This window comes from Homo sapiens, chromosome 3, assembly GCF_000001405.40.
Source record: "Homo sapiens chromosome 3, GRCh38.p14 Primary Assembly".
Lineage (NCBI taxonomy): Eukaryota > Metazoa > Chordata > Mammalia > Primates > Hominidae > Homo > Homo sapiens.
Genome location: NC_000003.12, coordinates 124451646 through 124478826, shown reverse-complemented (window position 1 = coordinate 124478826; position 27181 = coordinate 124451646). Strand labels below are relative to the sequence as shown.

General features: G+C 40.2%; 1 protein-coding gene across 40 annotated transcripts in view; it reads right to left on the bottom strand.

The window, feature by feature from the left end:
• KALRN (kalirin RhoGEF kinase) overlaps positions 1-27181 on the bottom strand; it is a 692957-nt gene that overhangs the window by 247499 nt on the left and 418277 nt on the right. For all 40 annotated transcript variants that reach the window (NR_170953.1, NR_170952.1, XM_006713810.4 and 37 more), the window contains 6 exons: positions 23468-23650; positions 22099-22217; positions 16871-16937; positions 16194-16303; positions 4095-4164; positions 1493-1582 (listed from right to left, as the gene is read on the bottom strand). Coding sequence is in view for 38 of the 40 variants with exons in the window: in XM_006713810.4 (XP_006713873.1) it covers positions 1493-1582; positions 4095-4164; positions 16194-16303; positions 16871-16937; positions 22099-22217; positions 23468-23650 (639 nt within the window). In the remaining 2 variants the exon portion in view is untranslated. The remainder of the gene's footprint in view (positions 1-1492; positions 1583-4094; positions 4165-16193; positions 16304-16870; positions 16938-22098; positions 22218-23467; positions 23651-27181) is intronic.

Genomic DNA, 27181 nt, shown 5'->3' with positions numbered 1-27181 from the left:
ACATGCTCAGAGCACAGGACATGTATGTCAGAAAAGTGCTAAGTGGAAGACAGGACACAATGCATTTAAAACTTCAAAAAGACCCTTCTGGATATTGTTCATGAATAATCAACAGAAGCATCCTAAGGGAAAAAGATTCTCACTCAGAGGTAATGGTGGCAGAGGGCATCCAATATGATACCCAATAATATCAGGTGAGAGGAGCACTTTTCTTGGGTTCTTCTGTGGTTCCAAATCTAACCCCAGGTATTCTAGTGTGGGATACATAGAGCCATTTCCATATTAATGCTCCATTAAAAAAATCATGTGCATTTTTCCTCATCTGGCTTCCTTCCATTCAAGTGTCATTTCTTTACTGAGCAACAAGACATTTGTAGGATCATTTCTGTTGAGGCAGTGCCAGGCTAGAAAGATGCTCAGGGAAGGTTTCTTTTGCACACTTGAGTACAAGGACCATGTTTAAATGTCTTTATATTCTCCACGGGGCCTAGCCCACTATCTTGCATAAAGTAGACATCCAAATATTTATGAAAAAAATGAAAACAGGTAGGCATATAGACAGATAACCTTTAAAAAGGGCTGAGTTTCTAGTTTCTGTCACTTCTGATATGACTGCCAAAATAGCCATCACTGCTATAGTCTGCCTCTCACTAAATTTTCTTTTTCCCCAATTTCATCTTTCCCTCTTATTCATCCTTTGAATCCTGCAGGGACCCCTTTGATTTTGCTTACTGTAAAGCCAATAGGTCACTTTTGGCTTTATAGATCCCACCATTTGCCAACAGGATTGTGTCATAATTCCAAACCAAAGGATCTGACAAGGCACATCAGCCTCACTCTTCTCCTGGCTTCTATTATAGCAGAGGTGTTCAGCCCTGGCTGCACATCACTCTCACCAGAAACTTTAAAATATCCCAATGCTCAGGCCACAGTCAGGCCAATCATAGCAGAACCTCAGGCATGGGATTCAGATATCAGTTTTTTTTTTCCAAAAAAGGTTGAATCAATTGCATTAGAGAAGTGATTCTCAAACTTGAGTGGAGTTCAGTTACCCAGAGGCCTCCTTAAAACTCAGGTTGTTGGGCTCCCCGCAAGAGATTCTGATTTAATAGATGTGGACTGAGGTCCAAGGATCACACTTTCGGAAACACTACATTTGTGAGAGCTGTATATGAAGCAGAAGTGAAATATATTAATCAACAACTGCATCATAGTGGCCCTCCTCTAAACATGTGCTTTATGACTTCCTAGGTTTGGTGTGGAGGCATGGAGACAAATTTGCCTCGTACAAAATCACTTTGGTCAAGATAGGATGAGATAAAACAAAATACAGACATATACTGTTTTTGCTTTTTTTCCATGCTTAAGGTTTGCAGTGGCCAGTAAAGAAAAATTAGGAAAAAAGGATAGCTAAATATCCATCCATTATGCCAAAGCAGAGAAGCATTTCCACCTGCTCATCAGCTGCTCAAGAATGGAAAACACAGCTTACATCAAAGAAGGTGCCCGCATGCTCCAGGATAAGCTGGTTGGAATCAGGCTTGTTTTTACAGTAGGTGACATACATCTGAAATTTGTCTGCCTAAAAAGAACAAAGATAATAATAGATAAGCATTCATTAGTTGTTCCCTTCTGTCCACCATGCTGAAGGACCCAGCAAGGGCTGTACAGTTAAGACCCTCAGACACCAGTGTCTAGATTTTCTATGGCAAATGTTCTATGCTCATCCAGCCCCCATGGTCCCCTAACGGACATTGGGATGTCTTTCTCCTGTCAGCACGTGGAGAAAGCTTCTGAAACTGAGCTCCTTTTAATAATAGTTTGTGCTGGAAAGAATCAGAAAAAGCAACTCATATATCCTGATATATTCTGAAGTTGGACAGAACTTATTTACAGATTTTACCCTTTTTTGGATTATCTACAATTGTGCTCCCCATCTTGAAAAAGGACAGCATTTGCTCTGAATACAAAAACAAATAATGAAGATGAAGTATTATCTCAGAGGTAGATCTGCTTGTACTCTAAATGTCTCCATTGGAGAAAGGTTGAGGGGCATGGCAAGGGACTATGCCATCCCCAACTTCCCAGAGCAATCATGGGGAAAAAGAAAGCAGAGTGACCCCCTGGGGCAGAGGCTAAACAATGGTTCCTAACTAGATTGTTGCTTCAAGCCAAGAACCTTACGGCTGGGTGAAAATTCAAGACTCTGAAGACTCTCTGGGTTAGCGTTACTGGGAAAGGTATGTGTATTTTGGCCACCAAATACTTTTCTTATTTGGTGAAATGCTACCCATCTCAGTGCCTTTGGAACTTTGTGTTGGCATCCTCTTCTGAGACAGCAGCCCAAATATGTGTTTATTACAGCAGGTTTCATTTATGCTAGCATTGTTCTAAGAGCTTTACATGTATTAACTCATTTGGTCCTCATGAGACCTCTATACAGTGAGTTCTGTTATCATCCCCAGTTTGCAGATGAGAGAACTGTGGCACAGATTGGTTAAGTGACTTTGAATTCCCACAGGGCTCTGCTACCTGTGGGAATTCAAAGTCACTTAACTAAGCAGAGATCTGACTTTAGGCTTCCTGGTCTTGACCACTGCCTTTCAATACATAACAAACAACTTCTTCTACCCTTCATTTCTGCATTACACTCATATATTAAGATTATGAGACTTAAGAAAGTCACCTTGGGATAATTCTTGGCAAAAGATGAATATTTTATCCAATCAAAAAATTTTCTGAAACCAGTTTTTGGAACTATGTACTACCTAGGAGATGATGATAAATCATTCTTATGACTGATTGTAAAGGAAATCCACAAATTTCATGAAAGAAGATGCAAAAAAAAAACCCTTTACTTAATGGTCAATCTTGTCATTCTCTATGTTTGCTGTGCAAGGGATCATAAATTATTTATCAGCATTAATATGAGCTTTGTATTGGCTCATATATTTAGGGGTAGAAAATGTATTAGAACAAAATAAGATGGTAGCTAAGACTTTCTGAAGAAACAAGAGTGCTTGGAAGCAAATATTAAGATTTCATGAAAAAAAGCTTATCTGAGAATCAGGTCTTGAGTTGTGGGACTGGCTGTGATATTTATTACATGTCAGTGAACTAGTCAACCTCCTATCTTATCTGAAATTTTCCCATGTTTAAAATCTAAAACATAAACATAGTGTTGTCTATCACATAGGGCTGTTGAGAACATAAACTCTCTGAATCATGAAGACACTTTGAAAGGCAATTAGCCCCTTATGGGTGGAAGTTATTATCAGGTAATTATTAAATAGTAGAACGCTTGACCCTGGGGGAGGATTTCCATGTTTGCACTCAGTGTCCTAAGTGGACTTCCCTGGAGATGTTTGCATTCATATATTGTACATGAGCCTGAGTTCAGAATAATGCGGAGTAGAGAGCCAATGAAGACTAACGTTTCAGTTTATATAATTAGAATCTGGTACATTCAGCCCCTTTACTTGGCCCATGATAACAGCATGAAGGAGGATGAACAGTCACTCATCTTGTGGGTCAGATTGGGATGGATACCCAAAAAATCTGTTTTTCCCTATTAAAGAAGAAAATGTAACCAATTGTTAGGTGGAACTCAAAGGATACATGCTTGAGGAGATGGACACCCCACCCATTCTCCATGATGTGCTTATTTCACACTGCATGCCTGTATCAAAATATTTTGTCTCCCCCATAAATATATACACCTACCATGTATCCACAAAATTAAAGATAAAAAATTTTTTTTAAATGGTTAGGTGGCTTCCTAAAGTTCTAATTCCCTAATCCATATCCTGTAACAATAGCTAATGGACTGAGCTGACACATTTCCTCTGCCAGGGGTGGTAGTCTTGTTCCACTCTTCCAACCTCACAATTTTAGAAAGTTCTTAGACAGCTTAAGATGGAGCTTAATCTTGATGTCTAAGAACTTTTCCCAAGGCTTCTCTCAGACCTACTCATGGTCCCTCTCAGTAGCCCCTGGTCTTGTGTGAGACTGGCAATGACTCCAGTCCTTAGGTCAGGCACTGAAGAGTGGTGCCATGTGTATGGGCAGTGGGAGAAGGATTTCAGGTTGGTTACCCAGGTAACAAAGCAGTGTCCCACATCCTCAGGCAGTTGCTCGTACTTCTCCAGCTCTTTGAGGAAGATGCTGCAAGAGGAGAAAAAGACTGAATCAGACACCTCTGTGCAGCTGACCCCCCAGAGGATTGCACTGAGGCCAGCACAACCATAACTTCTCAATTATTTATACATGGCTTCTCTACTGTCTAAGTGATAGATGGTGAGGTGCAGTTTTTAATGTCGGAACTAATTTCATTAAAATGTATGTTAATTGATTAATTAGTGCTACTTAAAATAATATTCTTTCTCTCGGAGTGAACACTTCTAGAAGTGAAAGTAAATAATAAAATATTTTGTTTGTGTTGGACTTTTTATCAGCAAGTAAGAATCTACTTTTTTACACAAGTAATCTAAGCACATCATAAATATTTTAAATAATATAGATATTTCAAAGAAACAAAATAAAATATCGCTATCCTAGAGATAAAGTAGAAAAAAATTCAGCCTACACTGGCCTCTTTCTAATTTTTGGCCTCTGTCTTCCACCAGTAGCCAATTTGTACTAAAAACTATGTATTAAACAATGTTTTATAATACAGACACCATTAGGAAAGAAAACTTAATGGGTAAAAATTCACAATATATTCCAAAGCTGAATTGAATTACAACTGTTATCCACCAGTGTGGATATCTGTGCCATGGCTCCTTTCCACGTTAATAAATAATAAAGAAATAATTACACTGACTTCAAAATAATGTATTAAATCATTGGTTTGGGTTCATAGGATATAAATTCTAACAAGCCAGCATGCTTTATTAGGATGGTATTTGCTGTAAAAAACAAAATATTTTTCAAATAAAAAGTGATTATGAGGCTTTGGGGACACATAGTGACAGAAGTGGAAATGCTACGATCTTTACAAGGAACAATTTGACAGTACCGATTAAATCATGAATGCGCTTATCTTTTGACTCTGCAATTTGAATTCTGTAAATTTTCCTGTAGCTATTTCTACACATATAAAATGATGTATATACATGAGTATTAACTGTGACACTGTTTATACAAGCAAAAGATGGTCTGTAAAGAACAAAGCGTTTAAACTATGGTACATCCACAGAGCTATATACTATGCAGCTATGAAAAGAAGACACAGCTCTCTATGTTTTCATATGGAAGAACTCTGGGAGAAGCTAAGTGGAAAAAGGTACAGAAGAATATGTAGAACATGCAACTTTTTGTCTCAGTAGGAATTACGTATTCTTATTTCCAACCCAAAAAACTAAGAAAAGACATTACCACAGGGAAGCAGGTGAAGGAACAGAATAGAGGACAGTGGTGGGTGACACTTCTCAATGTTTACTTTTCTATCTAATTTTGATTTTAAAACTGTGACAATACATTACCTTCAAAAATTGAATTAAAGGATACACGATATAAAGTGGTTCTGCATTACTCTACTACTTACCTGTACCATAGAGGGAAAAATGTTATTTGACTAACTTTACCTAGCTTCTATTGTCCACGCATTTTGGCAGTATAATTAATTACAAGTGGTTATGGATTTCACATATGTGTTGTATGTGTTCCTCCTTCCGTGACATAGAATGACATTGTTTGGAGCTTAAAAATATGTATGTGCAATTAAAGATGTTTGGCAAGTCCTATTTGGAAAGCCAAAATGCTAACAATAATTGATGGGATAATAGATGACTTCTTTGTCCATCTGCAATTTAATTTTTTCTACGACAAATGAGCATTGCTTTAGCGATAAGCAAAAAGCCATTTAAAAAAAATCTGGGAGACTCCTAGCTGTACCCAGTTTGTCCTTACATAGGTGATTTTAGAGTATTCTGACCTGAATCAAAGAGTAATTATAATGATATTTGGGCTTCAGAAATGCAAATATGTAGTGCTCAAAGTCAATAAAGTGTCATATTTGTTGCTACCTTTTAAAGAACTACAAGTGACACATTTAAACTAATATGTACTTTATATGACCATTAAAGTGCAAATTTTAAAAAGTGCTATATAATGTTATAATTGAGGATCAAACTTAGTTTAAGACCCAAAGGGAAATATACTTTTCTGTTGAGAAAAGAATCAATCTGCCTCATCATCATATATATACACACACACAGGTACACACACACACACACACACACACACACACATATACACACACACATTTTAATTTAAAATTAAAAACAATTTTTTATAATAATAGAGACGAGGTCTTGCCATGTTGCCCAGGCTGGTCTCAAACTCCTGTGCTCAAGCAGTCCTCTTGCCTTGGCCTCTCAAAGTGCTGGGATTACAGGCATGAGCCACCGTGCCCAGCCTGGGCCCTTCTCCCTTAAGAGTAGCCAAAGAAATGGTAAAACAGCCTGGATCAGGACATTCCACACAGGATAAAAAATTGTTTTATTGTGTCAGAAGTGGCAAGGATACCCATGATGACTCAGGGAGAGCCATTCCTTGACTTATGACCCAAGGATAATTGGCCTGGTCACTTTAATTTGAAGTAAACAATGATAATTATGTCTAAAGAATTGATCATTGATAGAAAGACAGTGCTGGCAATTTTATTTAAAATCTGATCAATTTCAATAGAGCAACACCCTGACTTTTGTGATAGCAGCTACCAAAAACCTATGGGAAGATGCACAATTTGAAAATCCTCAGGAAGCAAAAATACTATAACCAGAATTAAATGCACAGCATATAATTTTCATGAGGAATGCCTTTCTGTAAAATGAAGGTTGTTTTTTTTTTTTTTTTTTGAGACGGAGTCTCACTCTGTCACTCAGGCTGGAGTGCAGTGGCGCAGTCTCTGTTCACTGCAAGCTCTGCCTCCCAGGTTCACGCCATTCTCCTGCCTCAGCCTCCCGAGTAGCTGGGACTGCAAGCGCCCGCCACCACGCCTGGCTAATTTTTTTGTCTTTTTCTTAGTAGAGACACGGTTTCACCATGTTAGCCAGGATGGTCTTGATCTCCTGACCTCGTGATCCGCCCACCTCGGCCTCCCAAAGTGCTGGAAAATGAAGGTTTTAACAGCAGTTACCACTAGCTCACCCATCTGCCTACCCCCAGGTCTGACTTTCTTCCCCTCCCACAACTGAGCACAAGTTAAAGAATCAGCATTCACACTTGGTCACAGTTGTGAAAGGGTCTTCCAAAGCTTCATCCTCCTCATCTTTAAATAACAACTTTGCTGAGGTGGGCAGATCACCTGAGGTCAGGAGTTCAAGCTTAGCCAACATGATGAAACCCCGTCTCTATTAAAAATACAAAAAATTAGCCAGGCGTGGTGGTGGGCGCCTGTAAGCCCAGCTACTCAGGAGGCTGAGGCAGGAGAATCGCTTGAACCTGGGAGGCGGAGGGTTGCAGTGAGCTGAGATCGCGCCATTGCACTCTAGCCTGGGCAACACGAGTGAAACTCCATCTCAAATAATAATAATAATAATAATAATAATAATAATAATAATAATAAAACTTTGTGGGGGTGCTTGTAAGGATTTAATAAATCCACAGGTAAAAAGAACCCAACCCAGTGCCTGGCACACAGTAGACACTAAATAAACAGTAGTTCTTCATGATCAGTGCTTCTCAATCTTAATAAACTCATATTCTCTTTGGTAAACATGTATCTGACCCTCTTCCCCACTCCTGGAGACTTATATTTAGGGGGAACTCCCTACCAAGCCCTTGCTGAAAAATCTGCAGCAGGTTACTTTCTCCTAAACCATATCCTGGGAAAATCTTGATTGGTTATTATGTAACATTTAGATTCCAAGGTCACCTTGTTTGGGAAATGTTGGGCTAAGGTGGTTTTTTTTGCTGAAGAACTTCCAAAATCCTATAATATGTTGAGTTACACTATAAACCTCTGAAGTAAATACAATATGCAGTGCTTCTCAAACTTCTTTGTGCTTGCAGCACTTTTGGGGCGAGTATCAGACTTTGTCTCAAGGAACACTCTTGGAAAACTCTAGTTAGCGGTCCCACACCTGGTTGTACATTGCCTTCTGGGGTTACTATCTGAGCAAATGCATTGTTTAGAAATGCTTCCTGGGTAATTCCCACACATCCAGTCCATAGATGAGCATTTAAAGGCAACTGTCCTAGATTCCAGGATGCTTCCAGATGGCAAATCCTACATCGGCTCTATAGGATTTAATTTAGGGGGAGAAAGCTAAGAACATTTTTTTTTTTAAAAAACCTATTCAGCTTGTGCCAGGCATACCAATTGATAAGTTTGAATAAGATATTCATTACCATCTCAATGTAAATGTTGAAAGTAAGTGGCAATATTAAACTCTGTTTTACTTCTTAATTGGAAGCTTATGAAGATGACAGATTATGTAAGTCTGATCCATATTATTCTACTTACTTCAAATAGACATGATGAATTCAAATTAAAGCAAAACAGCTCACAACTCTCTTCACAAATGATGAAACATTTCACCTTAGCTGTTCTATAGCAGCAATTTGGCCCTCACTACTCCAATAATTACATGTAATAAATTGTGAAGGAATGAGCAAAGCAAGTCATTTGTGTGAATGTCTGGGGTTCTTTCAGAAAGGAATAAAACTTTTAAAGAAATGTCAAGATCAAGGCAATGCCATTACTCTATTAAATTATTATAATTTAATATATTATGCAGTTACTTTATGAGGAAAATGCTTCCTTTTGGCTTTGTACACAATCCTGGGAAATGAAACTGCTGGCATTTATTAACAGAAAGCTTTCTGAGTTTTGTCATTAAATATGATAGAAACAGCACTATTTCAAAGGTACTGGACTGGTTCTGTTATTCTCTCTGAAGATGAATTTGGTCTAAAATCTCACTGCTTCTGGGGAAGTGTATCCTTCATTAAGGAGCGCACAATCTTGTCAGCAAACAGACTTTACATCAAGGGTGCAGTCTGCATCTAAATGGAAATAACTATTTGATGACCTTGTATGTCAATGTGCATTTGCTTGTTGGAACGCCAGAGGTGGTGATAGGGGAAGGGGCCTGTTGTGGCAACGGGAAAAAGAGGAACAACGTGGAGCATACATTTAAAAATTAAGTCGGAAATGGGGTGGGGAGAAAGGTGTGAGGTTCATGTATTTATAGGAAGTCCAGGACATTGCCTTCTTTTCAAAGCAAGGCTGGGTAACTGCCTTCATGCAAGTAGAGCTAGAGATTATTTCTAAAGAATCCATTAATGACCAGGCAGATTCAGAGCCTAGAACATAAGAGGCTCTAGACCATAGGGGCTAAGATAGCCGGTTAGCATACTGGAGCAGGTATTAAACTAATGGAGGGTCATGTACACTCAGGGAAAGGTGCTGGATTTTTCATGTAACAGTTCCAGCACAGTTGGATCACCCAGGCTGAGCCATGAGAAGCACCTGGCTTTGTCCCTTCATTTCACACTTGACACTTTAGCTCAGGTTAGGGATGAAGAGGAAAGGTCTGCAGGGCTGGACGCCCATTCAGCACATCACACTCTCAGCCTCCAACCACAAGCAGCAAAATTTACCTTGCTGCATGGTTACCTGTTGAATATGTTTTTGCCAATATCTTCTAACTTTGTCTAATTTGTGTGATCAGATGAATAAAGTTATTTGCATAGATATATACCAAGTTTAATGTTAAAATAAAATACAAAAGATTAATCTTATGCTTAATGTTACTCATCTCCAATAAGGTGGTGTTTAGCAACCAGGCATGGATGCTAAGAAGTTAGTGTGTAAAACAAAAATTAACATTACTTTGACACATCCAAACGAAGTGTTTAGACTTTGTCTTGTTTTGGGTATTCCCTAACGTCTATAATCAGCCCCAATGTTGATAGCTTACTGAAAACACAAACAACAGTAACAAGACCACAGCTACATTTGTATAGGGCTCCTCTGATGGGTTCTGCAAGTTACCTCTTCAAGTGTGCGTTTGGGGACCAAAGAAAAATCACAACAGGCCTTCCCCTTCCTCTTTCCTTAACATTTGACTATTAAGAAAATGACAGCTGGATTCTTTGGCTGTGTCACTAATTTTGGTTTGGGCAGATCATAAACCTTTGTAAGTTTCAGTTTCTATAGAGCAAGGGAGAACTAGATTATCTTTAACGATTTCTTTCGGGCTTTTATATTTGATAATTCTATGATTTTCCATACGTGAGAAACCACTAACACCAAAGGCATTTGGAGTGGGGGAAGAAGCTTAGAAAGCATAGAACATGCACATTTTAAGCAAGGGTGTGTGTGTTGGGAAGGGGTAGGAGGGGCAAAGAGGGAGGAAAAGGTAGCAGCAGCCTGACAGGGCGGCCTTTCCCCAGTGGCCTGAACTGCACATCCCTTCTCTCACCACCTGGTGGAGCTAGCGCTCTGCCGTGCAGCCATGGATCAACCCCCCCCTTGTGTTTCAAGGGGTTGTAAAATCAATTTATGGGTGGCAACCAGAATTTTAAAAAAGAGGAGGAGGAAGAAATAGAGCCTAACACAAAATACCACAGTGCATCACACATAATGCAGGTGTTTTTCAAAATTTAACTTCCCTGTTATATATAGCATATATGCATGCGTATATCAGGGCATAATGTACAGTCTTTTTCTTTGGTTCATGATAAAAATGGTTTGAAAAACACCACCTTGCTCATTCTCCCTCAACAGGATGGTAGCTCTGGGAAGGTCTAGGTCTTTATCCATCTCTTTCCCTCGATCTCCTTCTCCTCATCCCCTCCCCTTTCCCTAGGGCCTCTTTCCGCAGATGGATCTACCTACCTACCTACCTGCCTGACTACCTACCCTACCTACCTATCCACCCTCCCACCGTCATTGCCTCCCTCTGGCTCTCCTGCTTCTCTCCTTCTCTATCTCTTCCTTTCTCCTTATTATCTGTCCACTTCATGGTTTTCTCACTTATCCTCTATCCACCTAGCTCTCTCTCCTCCTTTCCTTTTGTCTCTCCCTACATTTCTGAATTGCACTATCTCTGCCCACCACCTCTCCTTTCTTTTCCTCGTCTTACAGACATGGATGTGAGAAGACCCAGCCTACCTGGGAGTGCGACAATGAGACCTCTCTCTGCTTCCCATGACCCAGGATGGAGCCCCACTCCCAAACCCCCTATTGCCTCTCTCAACCTCCCTGCTAGACTTCACCACTTTTCTCCCTTGCAGGGCCTTTGTTCAAACTTTATTCCATCATCAAGGAAGCCATCCCTGCCTGTAAAAATCCCACCCCTTATTTAAATTATATCTCAAATGCCCCCTTCTCCATGAGGCCTTTCCTACTCTCCAACTGAGGCTATTTTCTTTGTGCTCCACTTGTGCCCACCTCCACCCTTATTGCAGACAGATATGTCATTCTCAGAACCCAGAGGGCAGAGGCTGGGTTCAATCACAGGGTACCAGCTTCATCTCCAATCTAGCCACCTTTGGCCCAAGGGAGGAACTCTGGGAAGTTGACTGAAATGTGGCTGTGGTTCAGTCGCTCATTGGGGTGCCCTTCCCTAAATTCCCCAGCCTCGATTTTACCCCTGCTGCTCACCCCTCACTGCTCCTGGCTGACCCTGGCCTGGTCAGTGCTCCCAGTTCAACCTCACACATCTCTGGTCCTGCTCCTTCGGAGCAGGGAACACCAGGTTGGGAGGGCAGTGGCTGGTGGCCAAGGCCAAATCTAATAGCTTCCAGCCAAGCCTGGAGGGAGGGAGTGTGCAGAAGGGGCATCTAACCTTGGTGGTTGGTCCCTAATTTGAAAATCTAGACCTTGCTGAAAACTGATTTATTTCAGGTAATTGTTGTAGGGGTGTGGCACAAGAATGACATAGCTCTGGGAGAAATGGGTAGAAATATTCATCAAATTCTAAGATCCACATGGAAGCTGTTTCACTATGAATTAAACCAGCCAGATGTGGCAGCCACCATTGGTGGTCTAGGGAGTGAGAGAAGGGGAGAGAGTGCTGAAGTGGGAGACCAAGCCCTGGAATCTAAATCCTCACTTTTAAGGAAAGGGGAGGGGCGCACACTGGGCAAGTAACGACTCCTCTGGGATTGTCTCCTTGTCTGTACATGGAGAGGGTTGTACTTGATGGTTGAGAGGACCCTCTGAGCGCTGGGAGTAGAGATTTTATGAAAATGTTATTGCTCAGACTCACATATGACCCTATCTCCAAAAAACCAAAAAGGAAGAAGTTCAGATTTAACAGAAGGTGATGAGCATTTTAAACAAAAAGCTGTCCACAGCAAAGTTGCAAATCTAATAACAGCAAGCTGAAAACAAATTATTTTCTTGAATTACAAGTTGTATGCTAGGCAAAATGGGAAGACTGCATTAACAAAATCATTACTGTCTAGGGATCTACTAATGGAATATATTCTCCTGTCTGAGTGCTCCAGGAATGCTTATAAAATGCAATCAAAATAGGTCTAAGTCTTGTGTAGATAAGTAAATTTCATGATTATATAGTTATTTCTGTAGGAAAGAGAAGTAGTGCAAAATGGGGAGAGTGGAGGGCAAAACGAAGTATCATTCCACTTCAGTCTCCGGTTTGTGTTAAAGCCAATGTTTGCAGGTATTAAATTCTACATATTAAACTGTTCTTTAAAGAAGTTTTGGTGCTGGGGAATTTCCCCATTCAATACCTATAAAGACAAAGGTCCTTGAGACAGACAGATCACAGACACACACACACACACACACACACACACACACACACACACACAGAGCAAGAGAGAGAACTAATCCTGGTTGCAATTTTTCAAAGTGACACCATTTAGACAGATCAATACTATCTAGTTAAGATATGTATTCACCACATAACCCTTGGTCTAGGTGCTAATTTTCTAGTGACTTAGCTAATTAAGTTAGCAAGGTCGTGTCAATCTCAATCCCTTTCTCTCTCAATCTCTCAATCTCCCAATATTCCTTCCTCCTGCTCTCCCTCCCATAGGCTCTCTCTGGATTACAGGCAGATAACCTGAGCTATGCACTAGAAATGAGAGGAGCATGTTTCCGTTAGACAATGCTTAATTGCAACTTTGGAATAATACAAACAATTGGGGTTAAAAAGCATCCTTTGATTTTTTTTCATATTCAGAAGTGACAATTTCGGACAAGTATTTCTGAAGAATAAATAAGTATTAGGACAACTGCATGGTCCAGCCAGTAAGAAGCTTCCAAGAAACTCCTTCATGTAGAAATTAAGTTATTTTGCTCTTCCAGATGGTTCTTGTAGTGATGGGGAAAAAATCATACCTAATGGTTTTCTCTGTCTTGAGACTTTTACAAACAAAAGATTAAATTATGACTTGAATGGTATTAGCCATAAGTCTGCAAATAGTAATTTTATCTTCAGTTTGTTCATCCATGCATTCACCTACCAAACAAATATTTACTCAATGTTTACTTATGTGCCAGGTACCTGATTATGCAGTGAAAGATGTTCTCCCCTCTAAGCTGTCCCTTAGAGTTTACAATTCCTGCATTTTCTAAGTTGGCTAACTGCCATTCTATCTCTTATTTACTAGAGATTTTAGAGGTGTTATGTTTTCTTCATTAATCAAAATTTGTAGGACACAAGCAGAAAGCATACATTATGAGTACAGTAAAGACAGCCCACAGATCCTGTAGGAAATTAATATGAAGCTTGATTTTCTTAGATATTTCCTTAAATTGCAGATAATTAAACCATTAATTTATTTTTGGTCAATAGCTTTCTAAATGCAGTACAGTTATTTGCCTTTAGTGCGGAACATATTCATGACTCAGGGTTACTGCTAATATTAAGTATGCTATGCTGTAACACAGTGGCTGTATTGGGCCCTATGGTGGGATACAGAATGGTTTGCACCAATACTGAGTAGCCCTTGACCACTATGAGGTTTTTTTTTTTTTTTTTTTGGTTCTATTGCCTACTGTTTTTGCAGTTTGTCTTCTTTAGACAGCTGCTGGTATCCCACTACTCACTCAAGTTCTTGATTCTTGTTTGCTGTTTCTAAATAGCTGTGGGCTTACAAACTATATAATCAAGAGGTAAAGAGGTTGTTAGGGAGGATAGAAAGATGCTTCTATGAAAAGACAAGAACTTAATTTTTGTGGCATCTTCTCTGGTTGTTGAGAGGCTAGTTGTTATTTTCTTTTTCTTTCTTCATAATATTCTAACTCGATAATATGTGCTGGGTAGCTGTGTTCTTGATAGTTGGATTTATTCCTCGATTTACAGCATGCGAGATTCTCTATGGTTTAATTTGATTTTTTAAAAGGATTTCTTAGAACTATATATTGTAACTGGTAGGTAGATTTTCAGCTATTTAGAAAACTACAAAACTGTTTACCATGGTTTACCAGTGATATCATGACAGCAGAATAAGAGGCATGATTATGTTAGCTATTTTGTTACAAGTGATCAATTTGGAAATGTATATTCATTCCCCTTATAAACTGATTGGCAAATGTAGGGCTCCCAGAAAGTGCGTGCTGTGATCTCTAGGCTTCCGTAGTTAGTCAATTGGCTAAGAACATGGGGAAAGTGAGACTTGTTGAGTAAATCCCAGAGACCATAAGCCAGAAAAGTAAGGTAACACGACTTACCGTTTGCCAGTCCGATGTCTTCTCAGATATCCTGAGGGAGATGGGATGATACTGAGCTGGGCTCAGATGATGGAATTTGGGATCAATGGTCAAATAGTTTTATTGGGCTCTTATCAGTGATAAGCATGAGGACATGATATTTCTACATCTGGAAATTTCCAGACAAACCAAATGGATCGTGTTAAAATTTATGATTAAAAAAACAAAAGACTGGGAACTTATATCACATATTCCAGAAAGTCAAACAGTTATTTTTCCCCCAGAGCGTATTGCTTCAATAATCTCACAAGGTTTGCATGCCATGGGAGCTACATATATTATGTTCTCTTTAAACTGATGCCATCTGATGACATACCAGGAATTAATAACCAGGAGGTGAAGAGAGAGGAGTGACTTTCCACCCCTTATCTGGACCTATTACAGCCCAGGATCATTTTACACCCAATTCTTGCTTGCCTCTTGGTCATTCTTAGCACAGGGCTATTCTAGAGCTGAGATATCGAATATGGCAGCCACTTGCTACTTGTGGTCTATTTAAATCTGAATCTATTAAAATTAAATAAAATTGAAAATTCAGTTCCTCAGTAGCACTAGCCACATTTCAAGTGTTCATTAGCCACACATATCTAGTGCTACTGTATTGGACACTGCAGATATAGAACATTTCCATCATTGCAGAAGGTTCCATGGGACAGTGCTATTCTGGAGTCTTGCCTCAGGGTGGCTGCTACACCTGTACACATGGCCCTTCTATCTCCAGCAAACCTACACAACTCAGTAAATGCCTCTGCTAGCCTGGCACAGCACTGCTCTGCAGCAGGGTCCTGAGAGCTCTAAGACTTTATGCCCATGTTCTTCTTTGTGTCTTGAGATTCTATTTGTATTTTGGAAACACAGTTATTTCTATTGGTTGGTTATGTAACTTATCATGCCAATTTTTTTGCTGATCCTTTGTTAACCATGGAACATGCTGTTTTGTATGGTGTGGGAAAAATTCTTAAATCAAGTTGGAAACAATGACTTGTGAAGTTTTAGGGCTCTACAATTCTACTTATTCCAACAAAACAGAGTATCGGTTGATATCCTTCCCTCCAAACTGTCAAGAAATGTGAAATAAAATGAGGATGGAGGAAATATTTAGGTTGATAGAAAACTTCAATGGAATTCAAAACCTAAAGATCACAAGGTGGAATGGTTAGCCTCAGATGAATTCTAACGTCAGGATTTCCCACAAGATTTAATGAGGAGAAGCTACTTTTATTTCTTCAAAGCCTGCTATTCATTCTGGCTGAATAAATGAGGATGTTGAGGAGAGATGGGGAGGAGCACTGCTGAATACTTGACTTTACTCTCCACTAGGACTTTCGGACAATTATGGAGAAAGGGGAGTGAGTAAAAAAGAAGTCTGACAGCAACTGCCTTAGAAAACTGACCAGATAAGATTCACCAATCGCCTTTGATCCACTTCTTGGGAACCCTGTTGTCTGGTTTTTACGGCCTAAGTGTGCACCTCTGAGACCCTCCACAAACCTACTTGTTATGGAAATCGTAGATCTCTTGGATGTTGCCAAAGATGATATGCTCTTTATTGAGGATCCCAGGGGGGATCTCCTCCACACCACTGGTCATTTCCCACAGGTAGGTCTGTAAGACAGTAACAGTTTCATCACTGGCAAGTCTGGCAGGCCATATAAAATACAGACAAAATACACAGGTGCTCAAACTTGTGGGGCAAGACTCAAACTGTAAATGCGTGCAGAGTTTAAAAAGTGACGTGTTAAGTAAACATAAGAGAAAGAAATAAAACCTGAATATTTCATTATCCTGAACTTTAGCAAGAACACAAACTCCACAGTCTCTTGTCATTTATTAAATGTGTGTGGACTTTTATGGGGGTCAGGATGCAGATTTTCAGACCCAATTTAAGTTCACTGACTGTGTCATGGTTTTATTTTGAATTGAAGTGCCTTACACACTTCTTGTTCCTGGGTCTAGCTCCAGTCTGAGAAAAGTTTAAACTTTCTTTTCAAAAGTACTTTAAACTCTCATGTAATTATTGTTGACTTTAGGAGAAAGATTTCCTCTTGTTGACTTTTTAATTCATTACTCTCTGGGAGAAGACCAATAGCACCAAATTCCAATTGAGGACTTGATGCTGGCAAGGATGTCATTTTTCCAATATAGCTGTGAACGGATTACTGGAAGACTCACCTCTAAGCACTCATGCAAATCCCTTACATAAGCCTTCTCTGTCTGGAGTAGTTCAGCCATAATAAATCTAGAAGGAAACAAATGGGCTTTTACTTGGATATAGATATAATGTCTCTCCTCCTTCAAACTTCACTTCCCCACCCCAGCATGTATGACATTCTTAAATGTCTTATTTTTCTACTTCATCAACAGGTCTTTTCCTTTCTTCAAAATTCCTTCCCTTTCCTACAAGTATCTTCCTATGATACTTGTGATATTTCCTGACCATTGGCCCTGTAACCCTTTAGCAGGTTTGTGCTCAGCTAGGTCCATATTCTCTCTCCCTTTTCCACCCCAGTCCTACTATTAATACTTGTGATTCTGTGGTGATATTCATGTGAGTACAGGCATGTAGGACTGTTCATATTCTGTCTCACCAACTAAACTAGATAGCTTGAATCTCAGCTTTCCACATTTCTCCTACAGCTCCCAGAATGAAGATTTCTGTTCAGTAGAGTTTGTAGATATATACCAAAACAGTTCTTAGTATCATAATAAACCAGGTTTCAAAGCCAGGAAAAGAGGTCCAACACACCGAGATCAGGGGTTAGCAATTTTTCTATAAAGAGCCAGATAATAAATCTCTGTGGGCAATTCGGTCTCTGTCACAACCACTCAACTTTGCTGTTGTCATGTGAAAGGAGCCATAGACAATGTGTAAAAAAAAATAAGTGTGGCTGTTTTCCAATAAAAACATTTATGGACACTAAAATTTGAATTTTATCTAATTTTCACATTATAAAATATTCTTCTTTTGATAATTCTTCCAATTATTTAAAAATATAAAAGATAATTTTTAGTTTATAGACCATATGAAATAGTTGGTAGGTCAAATTTGGTCTATGTTTGCTGACCTCTGACCTAGATTATCCTCTCAGCTATTTCAGTACTATTTCCAATGGGACTTGTTTACAGCATAAACGGATGTGTAGAAAACTGAACGTGCAACCATAAGCACAGTATAAATTAGTAATAAGTGACTGCTTCTCAGTCCCCCATAAAGAGAAGTCTGTGTTATGCATCTTTAAAGAGAGGGTTCTCTTCCTCCTTGGGCCTCTAAATAATACAATGTGCTTAGACAATTGTTAAACTTACGATACATGGCCTCGTTGTGGTATATTCTATATTTTTCTGTTCTTTGAATTGAACTCTATTGGTAGAGTAAAAAGTGCATAAGCTTTGGAGTCAGACAGATAGGAACTGAATTACAACCAGAGGTAGGACTTGCCTCTCCAGGTCTCAGACTCCTTACTTATAAAATAGCTGATCACACAGAATTGCTGCAAGTATTAAACAAGATCACGTAAGCAACATGCCTAGTGCATGGTAGGTGCTCAGGAAACATTCCATGATTAAATGAGCTGTAGATTGCGATGAAATGAGGACAGAAGGGAGATCAGAAGGAACATAAACTGACGGCCTTTGAGAACTTGCCTTTGATTTTATTGCCTTAAGTTTTCTAGAATTGTTCTTTTGTTCTCATCCGCTTCCTGCAGTTTTACCTGTCTTTCCTCACAATTTACCTCTGCTATCCCCACCCCATTTTATTTTCCACCCATCCTTTAATCTCTTCTGGCTATTTGTTGTCACAGAAGGAACCAAGGAGGAAGATCTGGCCAGGTATAGTCCCCTCATCCCCCTCCCAGATATGGGCTGAATTATGACGCCTCTGAAATTCATATGCTGAAGTCTTAACCTCCAATACCTCAGATTTTGGTCTTATTTGGAAACAGTATCACTGCAGTACTGGAGTAGAGTGGCCCCTGGATCTAACAACTGATGTCCTTACAAAAGGAGGAATTTTTGATACAGGCATATATTCTGGGATTATGCCACGTGAGCACGGAAACAGCCATCTACAAGCTATCAAGGAGAGAGGCCTGGAACAGACCCTCCCCTCACTGCCCTCAGAAGGAATCAACCCTGCTGACACCTTGAGTTTAGGCTTCTAGTCCCGAGAGCTGGGAGACAATACATTTCTGCTCTTTAAACAACCCAATTTGTGGTACTTGGTTACAGCAGCCCCAACAAACAAATCCACTCCCCATATGAACAAGCTCTGATTCACACAGCAGCTTTAGTTTCTTCATCTCCAAGGAACCTGTGGTCCTACTTCATCTTGATAAAATAAACTATATAGAGCTTCTTAATCTTAGGACATACTATTTTTTTCTAGTAATTCACAAACAGAGTGTCAAAATATTCTTTATAAAGTCCTCCAGAAATCTCTAGATATGTGTTACTTTGTAACTCCAGCATAAAGGAAGCAGTGTCAAGAAATGGTTTATAAGATTGGTACGGTTCATTGTTTACCCTGTCCAATGCTCTGTAATTCTTGATTAGAGTGAAATGTTGGTAGACAACTCCCTACCAAACAACCAAAGAAGAAAAATGTGTTTTGCCTACCTGGAGTCAGGACTTTTCTGAAAGTGGAGCTGAGATACTTAGAGAGCAAAGCAGGAATCTAATGATAAGTTGGTTCCAGCTCACTAAATGAATTCTGGCCCCTATTCATTCTTATTCTGAGAAAACAGAGTTCAATTTATGAAAACCTCAGCTACTTCAGATTCTTGCAAAATGTTTGAATCTCAGCATCCTCTACTCTCTTCTTGCCTATTTTCCTCTGCCTCATCTCCTCATGGGCTATTGCTGACCTAGGAGTAAACTTAGGTGGCAGCTTTACATTCTAACATCTACAATTCACTCACTGGACCAATTTCCAAGCACCTCTTTCTTCCTTTTGAAATCTGAATACCTAGAGCAAGTCAGGGGAGGAGGGCCCATCTGATGCTGGAATGCCTCCTAAAGCATGCCTTATTTTCTTCTGGCCCAGTGGTATATCCCTCAACTTCAAGTAAAGAAATTGATGTTACAGTCCTTATTTGTTTTGTGATTTTAAATAACGTCCTGCCCTTCCCTCAAGGTTTCAATTTCTATATCCAATTATATTCCATAAGATTTTCTTTTCCTTTCTTTTTTATTTTGAGATGGATTCTTGCTCTGTTGCCCAGGCTGGAGTGCAGTGGAGCAATTTTGGCTCATGGCAACCTCTGCCTCCTGGGTTCAAGGGATTTTCATACCTCAGCCTCCTGAGTAGCTGGGATTACAGGTGCACACCACCATGCCCAGCTAAGTTTTGTATTTTTTTTTTAGCAAAGACAGGTTTTTGCCATGTTGGCAAGGCTGGTCTTGAACTCCTGGCTTCAAGGTGATCTGCCCACCTCAGCCCCCCAAAGTTACAGGCATGAGCCACTGTGCCCTGCCTGACTATAAGCTTTTCTTGATCAATAATTATGTTATCTTCATTTTTCTGCTAGTCCCTTGATCCATACTACAGAGTATAAAATACTTCTTGTTTTCAAGGAGTCTACAATCTAGCTAGGGACATATGCTTAAGAATTGGCTGAATAAGTAAAATGGGAATCAGTACAGAAGTAAAGGAGTTCATAAAAGGATGGGCCAATGACAGTGGGGGCTGTAGATAAAGGATTTATAGAGGCATAGGATATGAGCTGGATTTTAAAGAATCAATAGGACTTACACAGAGCAAAATAAAACCAAACAGGAAAAAAAGGAAGGGAAACGAAAGGGAAAATAACAAACAGAAAGGAGAGCATTCTCTTTTTTTTTTTTTTTTTTTTTGAGACAGAGTCTTGCTCTGTCAGCCAGGCTGGAGTGCAGTGGCGTGATCTCGGCTCACTGCAACCTCTGCCTCCTGGGCTCAAGCAATTCTCCTGCCTCAGCCTCCCAGGTAGCTGGGATTACAGGCGTGTGCTACCATGCCCGGCTAATTTTTGTATTTTTAGTAGAGACGGGGTTTCACCATGTTGGCCAGGCCGGTCTCGAACTCCTGACCTCAGGTAATCCAACCGCCTCGGCCTCCCAAAGTGCTGGGATTACAGACGTGAGCCACCACACGCGGCCAGCAGAGTATTCTCAATTATATACAATTTATTCTTAGACCTGAGAGGAGTCAGTGAAAATGATCTGACTGAAGGGTGTGATCTGAACTAGAAAGTATTTTGAAGTAAAATTGACTTAGATGAGGACAAACGATAGCAGTACCTTGAGTTTTATCATTATTCCAGGGGTAGTAGCAAACCATTTACAATTTGAAGCTGGTGAGAGACATAATGGAAAGAAATCAAAGAATGCTGAAGAGTCAAAGCTAGATTAAATTCTGGCTTCATTGCTCACCATCTGTGTGGTTTGGGGAAAATTACTTGACTTTTCTAAGACTTATTATATGTAAAATGGGAATAATCATAGCTGCCTGAAAGAAGCGATAGAAAGATACAAAGAGAAAATGTGTGTAAAGGCACTTTATGTAATGTTTAGGACATAAAAAGTGTAGGTGCTGGTGGCAGGAAGAGTATTGATATTAGCAATAATAAAATGTACTCCAGAAAGGTAAACCTGGCATCACTGTGCAGGTGAATTGGGCAGGGACCAGCAGCAGGAAAGCTATGGGAAGTTTTTGCAAATAATCCAGACAAAACTAGAAGGTTAGTGACACTATTGATGGGAATTAGAAAATCAGAAGGGAGAGGCTGGGCGTGGTGGCTCATGCCTATAATCCCAGCACTTTGGGAGGCTGAGGCGGGCAGATCACTTGAGGTCAGGAGTCCGAGACCAGCCTGGCCAACATGGTGAAACCCCGTTTCTATTAAAAATACAAAAATTAGCTAGGCATGGTGGCGCACACCTGTAATCCCAGCTACTCGGGAGGCTGAGGCAGGAGAATTGCTTGAATCCAGGAGGCGGAGGTTGCAGTGAGCTGAGATCATGCCACTGCATTCCAGCCTGGGTGACACCGTGAGGCTCTGTCCCAAAAAATAAAAAACTTAAAAAAAAAATCAGAAGGCAGAATAAAATTTGGAGGAGAAGAAAAAATATTTGATTTGTTCCAAGTTGAGTTTTGACATTGTGAAGTAAAATGTGATGATCTATGAGGAAGGGTTTGTCTAGGAAGTTACTGAAATGTAAAGAGAATTCAGGTGAAGGACAGACTGGAGAGACTTCAAAGCCTTCAGAGGGAACCCATATTCTCAATGCAAACATTATGTCTGTCCATCCCAATCCCTGTAGGTGGCCATGAGAACATATTAAGCTATCCAAAGGGACAAGTAGCGGTGAAAGCCCAGCATAGTCACGGGGAGCCAGCTAGCTGGGCGGAAGCCAACACGTACTCTTTCTTCCGGGCTGACTTCCGCTTCTCTTCATTGACTTCGTGGTTGGCGTCCCGCAGCTTGACCTCCCGATCCGAAAGGCTTGCTGGGATAATATCCAGCTCCAGGTCCTTATTATCCTGCACATGGAGGGATCACAAAGGTCACCTTGTGATGCTTTGGGAAAGCAACTCACTGGAGTTGAGGGAGGTGGTAAAAGGGGGAAAAAAAGATATAATGGAGAAGGATAAAAACATGAGGGATCTTACAGACTCATACCCATAAGCACTCTTCTTCATGGTATCATTATTGTTTTTTCAAATAAGAGAGAAATAAAATGTTCAGGTCAAATGTTTAGGGTAAATATCCATAGTAAGAAAAAACAATGAACATATTTGATAATTATGTGTCTATTTCCCCAAGGCCTTTGGTCCTAATTAAATCTAAACACACCCGTAAATTAGTCTAAGACTGATTCTTAACCATTTAAAATAGATGTGAAACAAAAACACATAAAGATATAAAAACATCTTTCATTTGTCAAAAGAAAATAATCAAATCAAATATATTTATTTAAACAAGAAATTTCCCTTGGAAACAGAAAGCTAAATAACAGAGCAATGACTGAACTTTCTCATTGCTCATCCCTGCTAATTTTAACCACCATTTGGTATTTATATATGATGGAACTTCCTAGATAAAAACTCACAGATTAAAGCCTGGGGGAGACATTAACTCTCTCAACTTTAGGTAGTTTGGCCACTTCACTCTCCAGGCTGCTCTGCTTCAGATCATGAGCCTATTTGAAGATTTAAGAATTAGACATCCTAGGATTAAATTGCCAGGCTGTATTAAGCTCTTAATTCACAGGTTACTAACCCCTATTATAAAGAAGAGATTAAAAGTCCATCTTCCCTGGTTCATGGCAAATTGTACCTCTGTTCGGTTGAAATGTCAAATAACCCTTGTACAAATTGCACCCCTTATTCTTGAAAGAGTACTATTATATATACTGGGGACTCTAATCATTTGCTGATTAACATAATTGGGTGGAAGATGGTACTTATGAAGCCAAGATAAAGCTTTTGGTTCTCAAAGTCAACAGTTAACTCTATACAGAGAAAAACTCTGTTCTGTAGCCATAGGCCCCACTACTGGCCAGTCGATTTTGTAATGTATAGAGTACTAATCACAGGGGACTGAAGGTTAATGGATCAGCAAGATCCACCCAGCACTCCCCACTAGAAAAGCCACACAAGTCAAGCGCTCTAGGAGTCAATAGCTCAGAAGAACTGCTCTGGAAACATGCTTTTCTTCCATGGCGATGAGGGCAGTGGTGCTCAGGGAGATGAGAAGGGAGGATGTCCCAGAGGACAATACCCCTGCCTACCTCTGTGTTGACTCCTAGGGCTTTCTCCAGTGAGTATCGGTACTTTCCCATCCTCAGGGAGAAATCTCTGTAGTGCTTGTCCACCGTGGTCACCCATTTCCTTATCTCCGTGGCATGAATGTGGCCTTTTTCCACAAAGCTATCGGCCAGCTGAATCAGAAGCTTCACCTTCTCCTTTGTTTGCTGCCCCAAAAGATGGCCTTAAGTTACTGGATTACATTTATTCTCCTGCCCCTTCACCCCAAATCCTCTCTTCCTGTTTAGAGCAGCCATAGATACCTCATAGCTGACTACCTGGGTATGTATCCCAGCTTTGTTACTACTAACTGGGAGATCTCGAGCAAGTTATTGAAACCCTCTGTGCCTCCATTTCTTCATCTGCAAAAAGGAAATCATAATATTACAGTCATCCCTCAGTGCTGGGGTGGGGGGAACTTGTTCCAGGGCCCCCCATGGATACCAAAATCCAGATATGCAAGTTCCTTATATAACATGGTGTGGTTTTTGCTTACAACTTACCCACATCCTCAGGAACACTTCAAATCATCTCTAAATTACTTACAATACCTAATACAATGTAAATACTAAGTAAATAGTTGTTATTCCGTATGGCTTAGGGAATGATGACAAGAACAAAAAAAGTCTGTATATGTTCAGTACAGGCACAACCATCCATTTGAAAAAAAAACATTTTCAGTTCATGGTTGGTTGAATCCACGGATGCGACACCTGTAGATACGGAGGGCTGATCCTACTTCAGAGGGCTGGTGTATTAAATGAGTTGACAAATGTAGAATGCTTAGTACAGTGGAAGACAGTAAGAACTCAGTAAGCCATAAACATTAACCATTATTATTACTGATGTAAGAATCTCTTACATTAATATGCTTTTAATTTACATAGTGTGTTACTGTATCTGAAAGCCATTTGAGTTTAGATGCATCCTTAGGAAGTAGGTGGAGGGAAGTGATGCAGGTCTCTTTGAACCACAGATGAAAAAAATCTGAGGCTTAGAGAGGCTTAGGGCTGGTCCAACTTCATACTACCAGTGAGCAAACAGAGCCTATTTGTCTCTGCCCTTTAGTTCCTAGTTTCCCTCTCCACTGTACCAGCTCTAAACCTCATATAAGTTGGCACATGCCAGGATCTAAATAAATACAATGAGCAGATTTAAGAGTTAACTCTGTCCCTGTCACCACCAGAATCTTGTCTTTAGTTTCCATTAGAGAGCAGGAGAAAGAGGTTAATAAAGCCATCATCTATTATAGGACTAGGTAAAGTAGAACTCTGATGTTTACTGGATTAATTTCATTTTTAGCAAGAGTTTGTTCAATACCTACTTGGTCCGTAGTACTGTGTAAAGAGCTATAGTTTAGGGCTTGGGGGTCAAACAAAAGGAAAAAAATCTTCATTTCACACAGAGTAGGTAAATAACTCAGGGCATTATGTAATTGAATGTCAAAATGGGAGAATGTAGAGTTAACACTATAGGAATTTTAAAAGGAGAAAATGAAGGCGGACAGGCATGGGTAGGGGAGGTCTCACGGAGAAGCAGTACTTAAGCTGGGTAAGTCATGGGAATGAGAGAGACACCCAACAAGCAGACTGCTGCTTATTTTTTAATCCTAAGTTTGGATTTTCAAACTCTGAAATTGCTCAGGGAAAGGAAAGAACATTTAAATACTATTCTAAGAAGAAAAATTATCTTTTGGACTGGAGGAAAGTGGGTCCAAGGTTTAAACCATGCTACAATCTAGATATCAGGGAAACTGAGGCAAAACATCACTGGAGCAACAGCAGAAAAAACAACAGAGCCCTTCTTTCTTTATTCTACTATCCTCACCCCATCTGCTCCTTCCAGGCCTATCTACAGCCCCTCCCATGAGAGATCAACCCTCCCAAGAAATGCTGGAGAAAGAGGGCGTCAGAGAGGAGAGTTGAGAGTGCTCTGCCTGCCGCACACATGGCCAGGGACCAGGGACCAGGGATCCAGCTCTCCAGTAGCTCACTCGGCACATGGAGCCTCTCCTATCTCAGGACAGTAGGCTGGTGCCTGGCACTGGAAGATAAAGGGCAAGAGCTTTGGTGTGAAGGAAAGGAGGTAGGTGTGAGGATAGCCGAAACATCTCCTCAGCCATGAAAAGGCAGAGTAATAACAGGGAGAATTGGTTAAGATAGAATTAGCAGATTCTATTCAAAATAGAATCTACTTGATTCTATCTAAACTAGAATTATTGAACCCCTTTTTAATCATCTTATTCATTTATATATCTCCAGTGTCTAAGCATCCTGAGGACTTTCATCTTATTGCATGTAGGGTGTTTTTTATTTTTATTTTTCCTGAAAACAATTTTCTTTGGTTTTCTATTTACTTAAAACAGAGACCATGTGTTTATGGAAAAGTCTTGGAAATACATATTCTCTGCTCTTGGTAAAGTGACTCCACCTATAAGAAAGGGTTTTACAGCCAGCTGGTGGCAGCAGCCATACTAGGGCAGCTCTACCAGAGAAAATTATATCTTAAAACATCAAAATTGTGATTCGGAGTCAGCAAAGCAAATAGTTTGTGACCAAGAGTATTCTAGGTATGTGTGGGGACTAGAGGAGCAAAGAGACAGTAAAATGAGTTTAGATGCATCCTTAGGAAGTAGGTAGAGGGAAGTGTAGACACGCCCTTCCCCATGCGGCTCCACCTACCTTTGTAGCAGCCCTGTCTCCACTGCTCTTCATTCCCTACACTGCAGCCATGTTGAATGTTGCATGCCTCTCCTGCTGTGATGAGTGGTTCCTACTCATTCCCACTCTCAATTGAATGCCCTTTTTCCTCTCCTCTCCTCCCCAAAAAACAAGTGGGCAATGCCTTCCCAGTGTTCCCACAGTATCACATACATGCTTCTATTTTAGCATACATCACATTATTTATAAGTCTCCTTCATTAGACCATGAACCCTAAAAGGTAAGTATTATATCTTATTCATTTGTATATCTCCAGTGTCTAGAAAATAGTAAGCATACCATCAATGTTGACTGAATGAATGAATGAGCAAATCTTGTGTTTGGAGGTGAGTAAAGCTAGACCAGCAAGAGTTGAAGATTTTTATTGGGAAGAAGTAGATGATAAATTTGGCCCATGAATTGGATAAGTGCACTTAGACATCAACCATGGCCATGGTCCCCACTGGGAGTATTCTGAAATGGTTTCTTATACATAGGTGATTGTGGTGGCACCACATGACCTGCCAAATGCCTGGTCACAGCTTTTGAGATCAGAGGTAAAAACTTGTCTTATGAGGGCAGCCCATCAAGATGCAGCCAGTGACTTCTGAGGTGTCCTGGCCTAAAAGCTGTGTCTAAATAGGGGACTAGAAATAAGCTGGGTCAATTGGGGTTGTTTCCCTGAGGATTTAAACTGTACAGACAGGGATCTGGGTGATTGCTTGCAGAGTAGAAGTGAAATCACAGAAAGCAGAGAGGAAGAAGAAAAAGGAAGCTGTGGTATAGAAATGGTAGAACATTATACAGATTCTGGTCTTCCACTCTCAGATGATGACCAGATGACGTGGCTGCTTGAGACACCCTTGGTCTTGGGTGACATTCCAGTTTTCATCTCCAGAGGTGACACTATGCCACATTTCTTGTTCTTCCCATGGGGCTGAGTCACTGAGCTTTTTCTGGGTTTCTGGGAGGTTCAGACACATCGCTTCTATCTTCTTT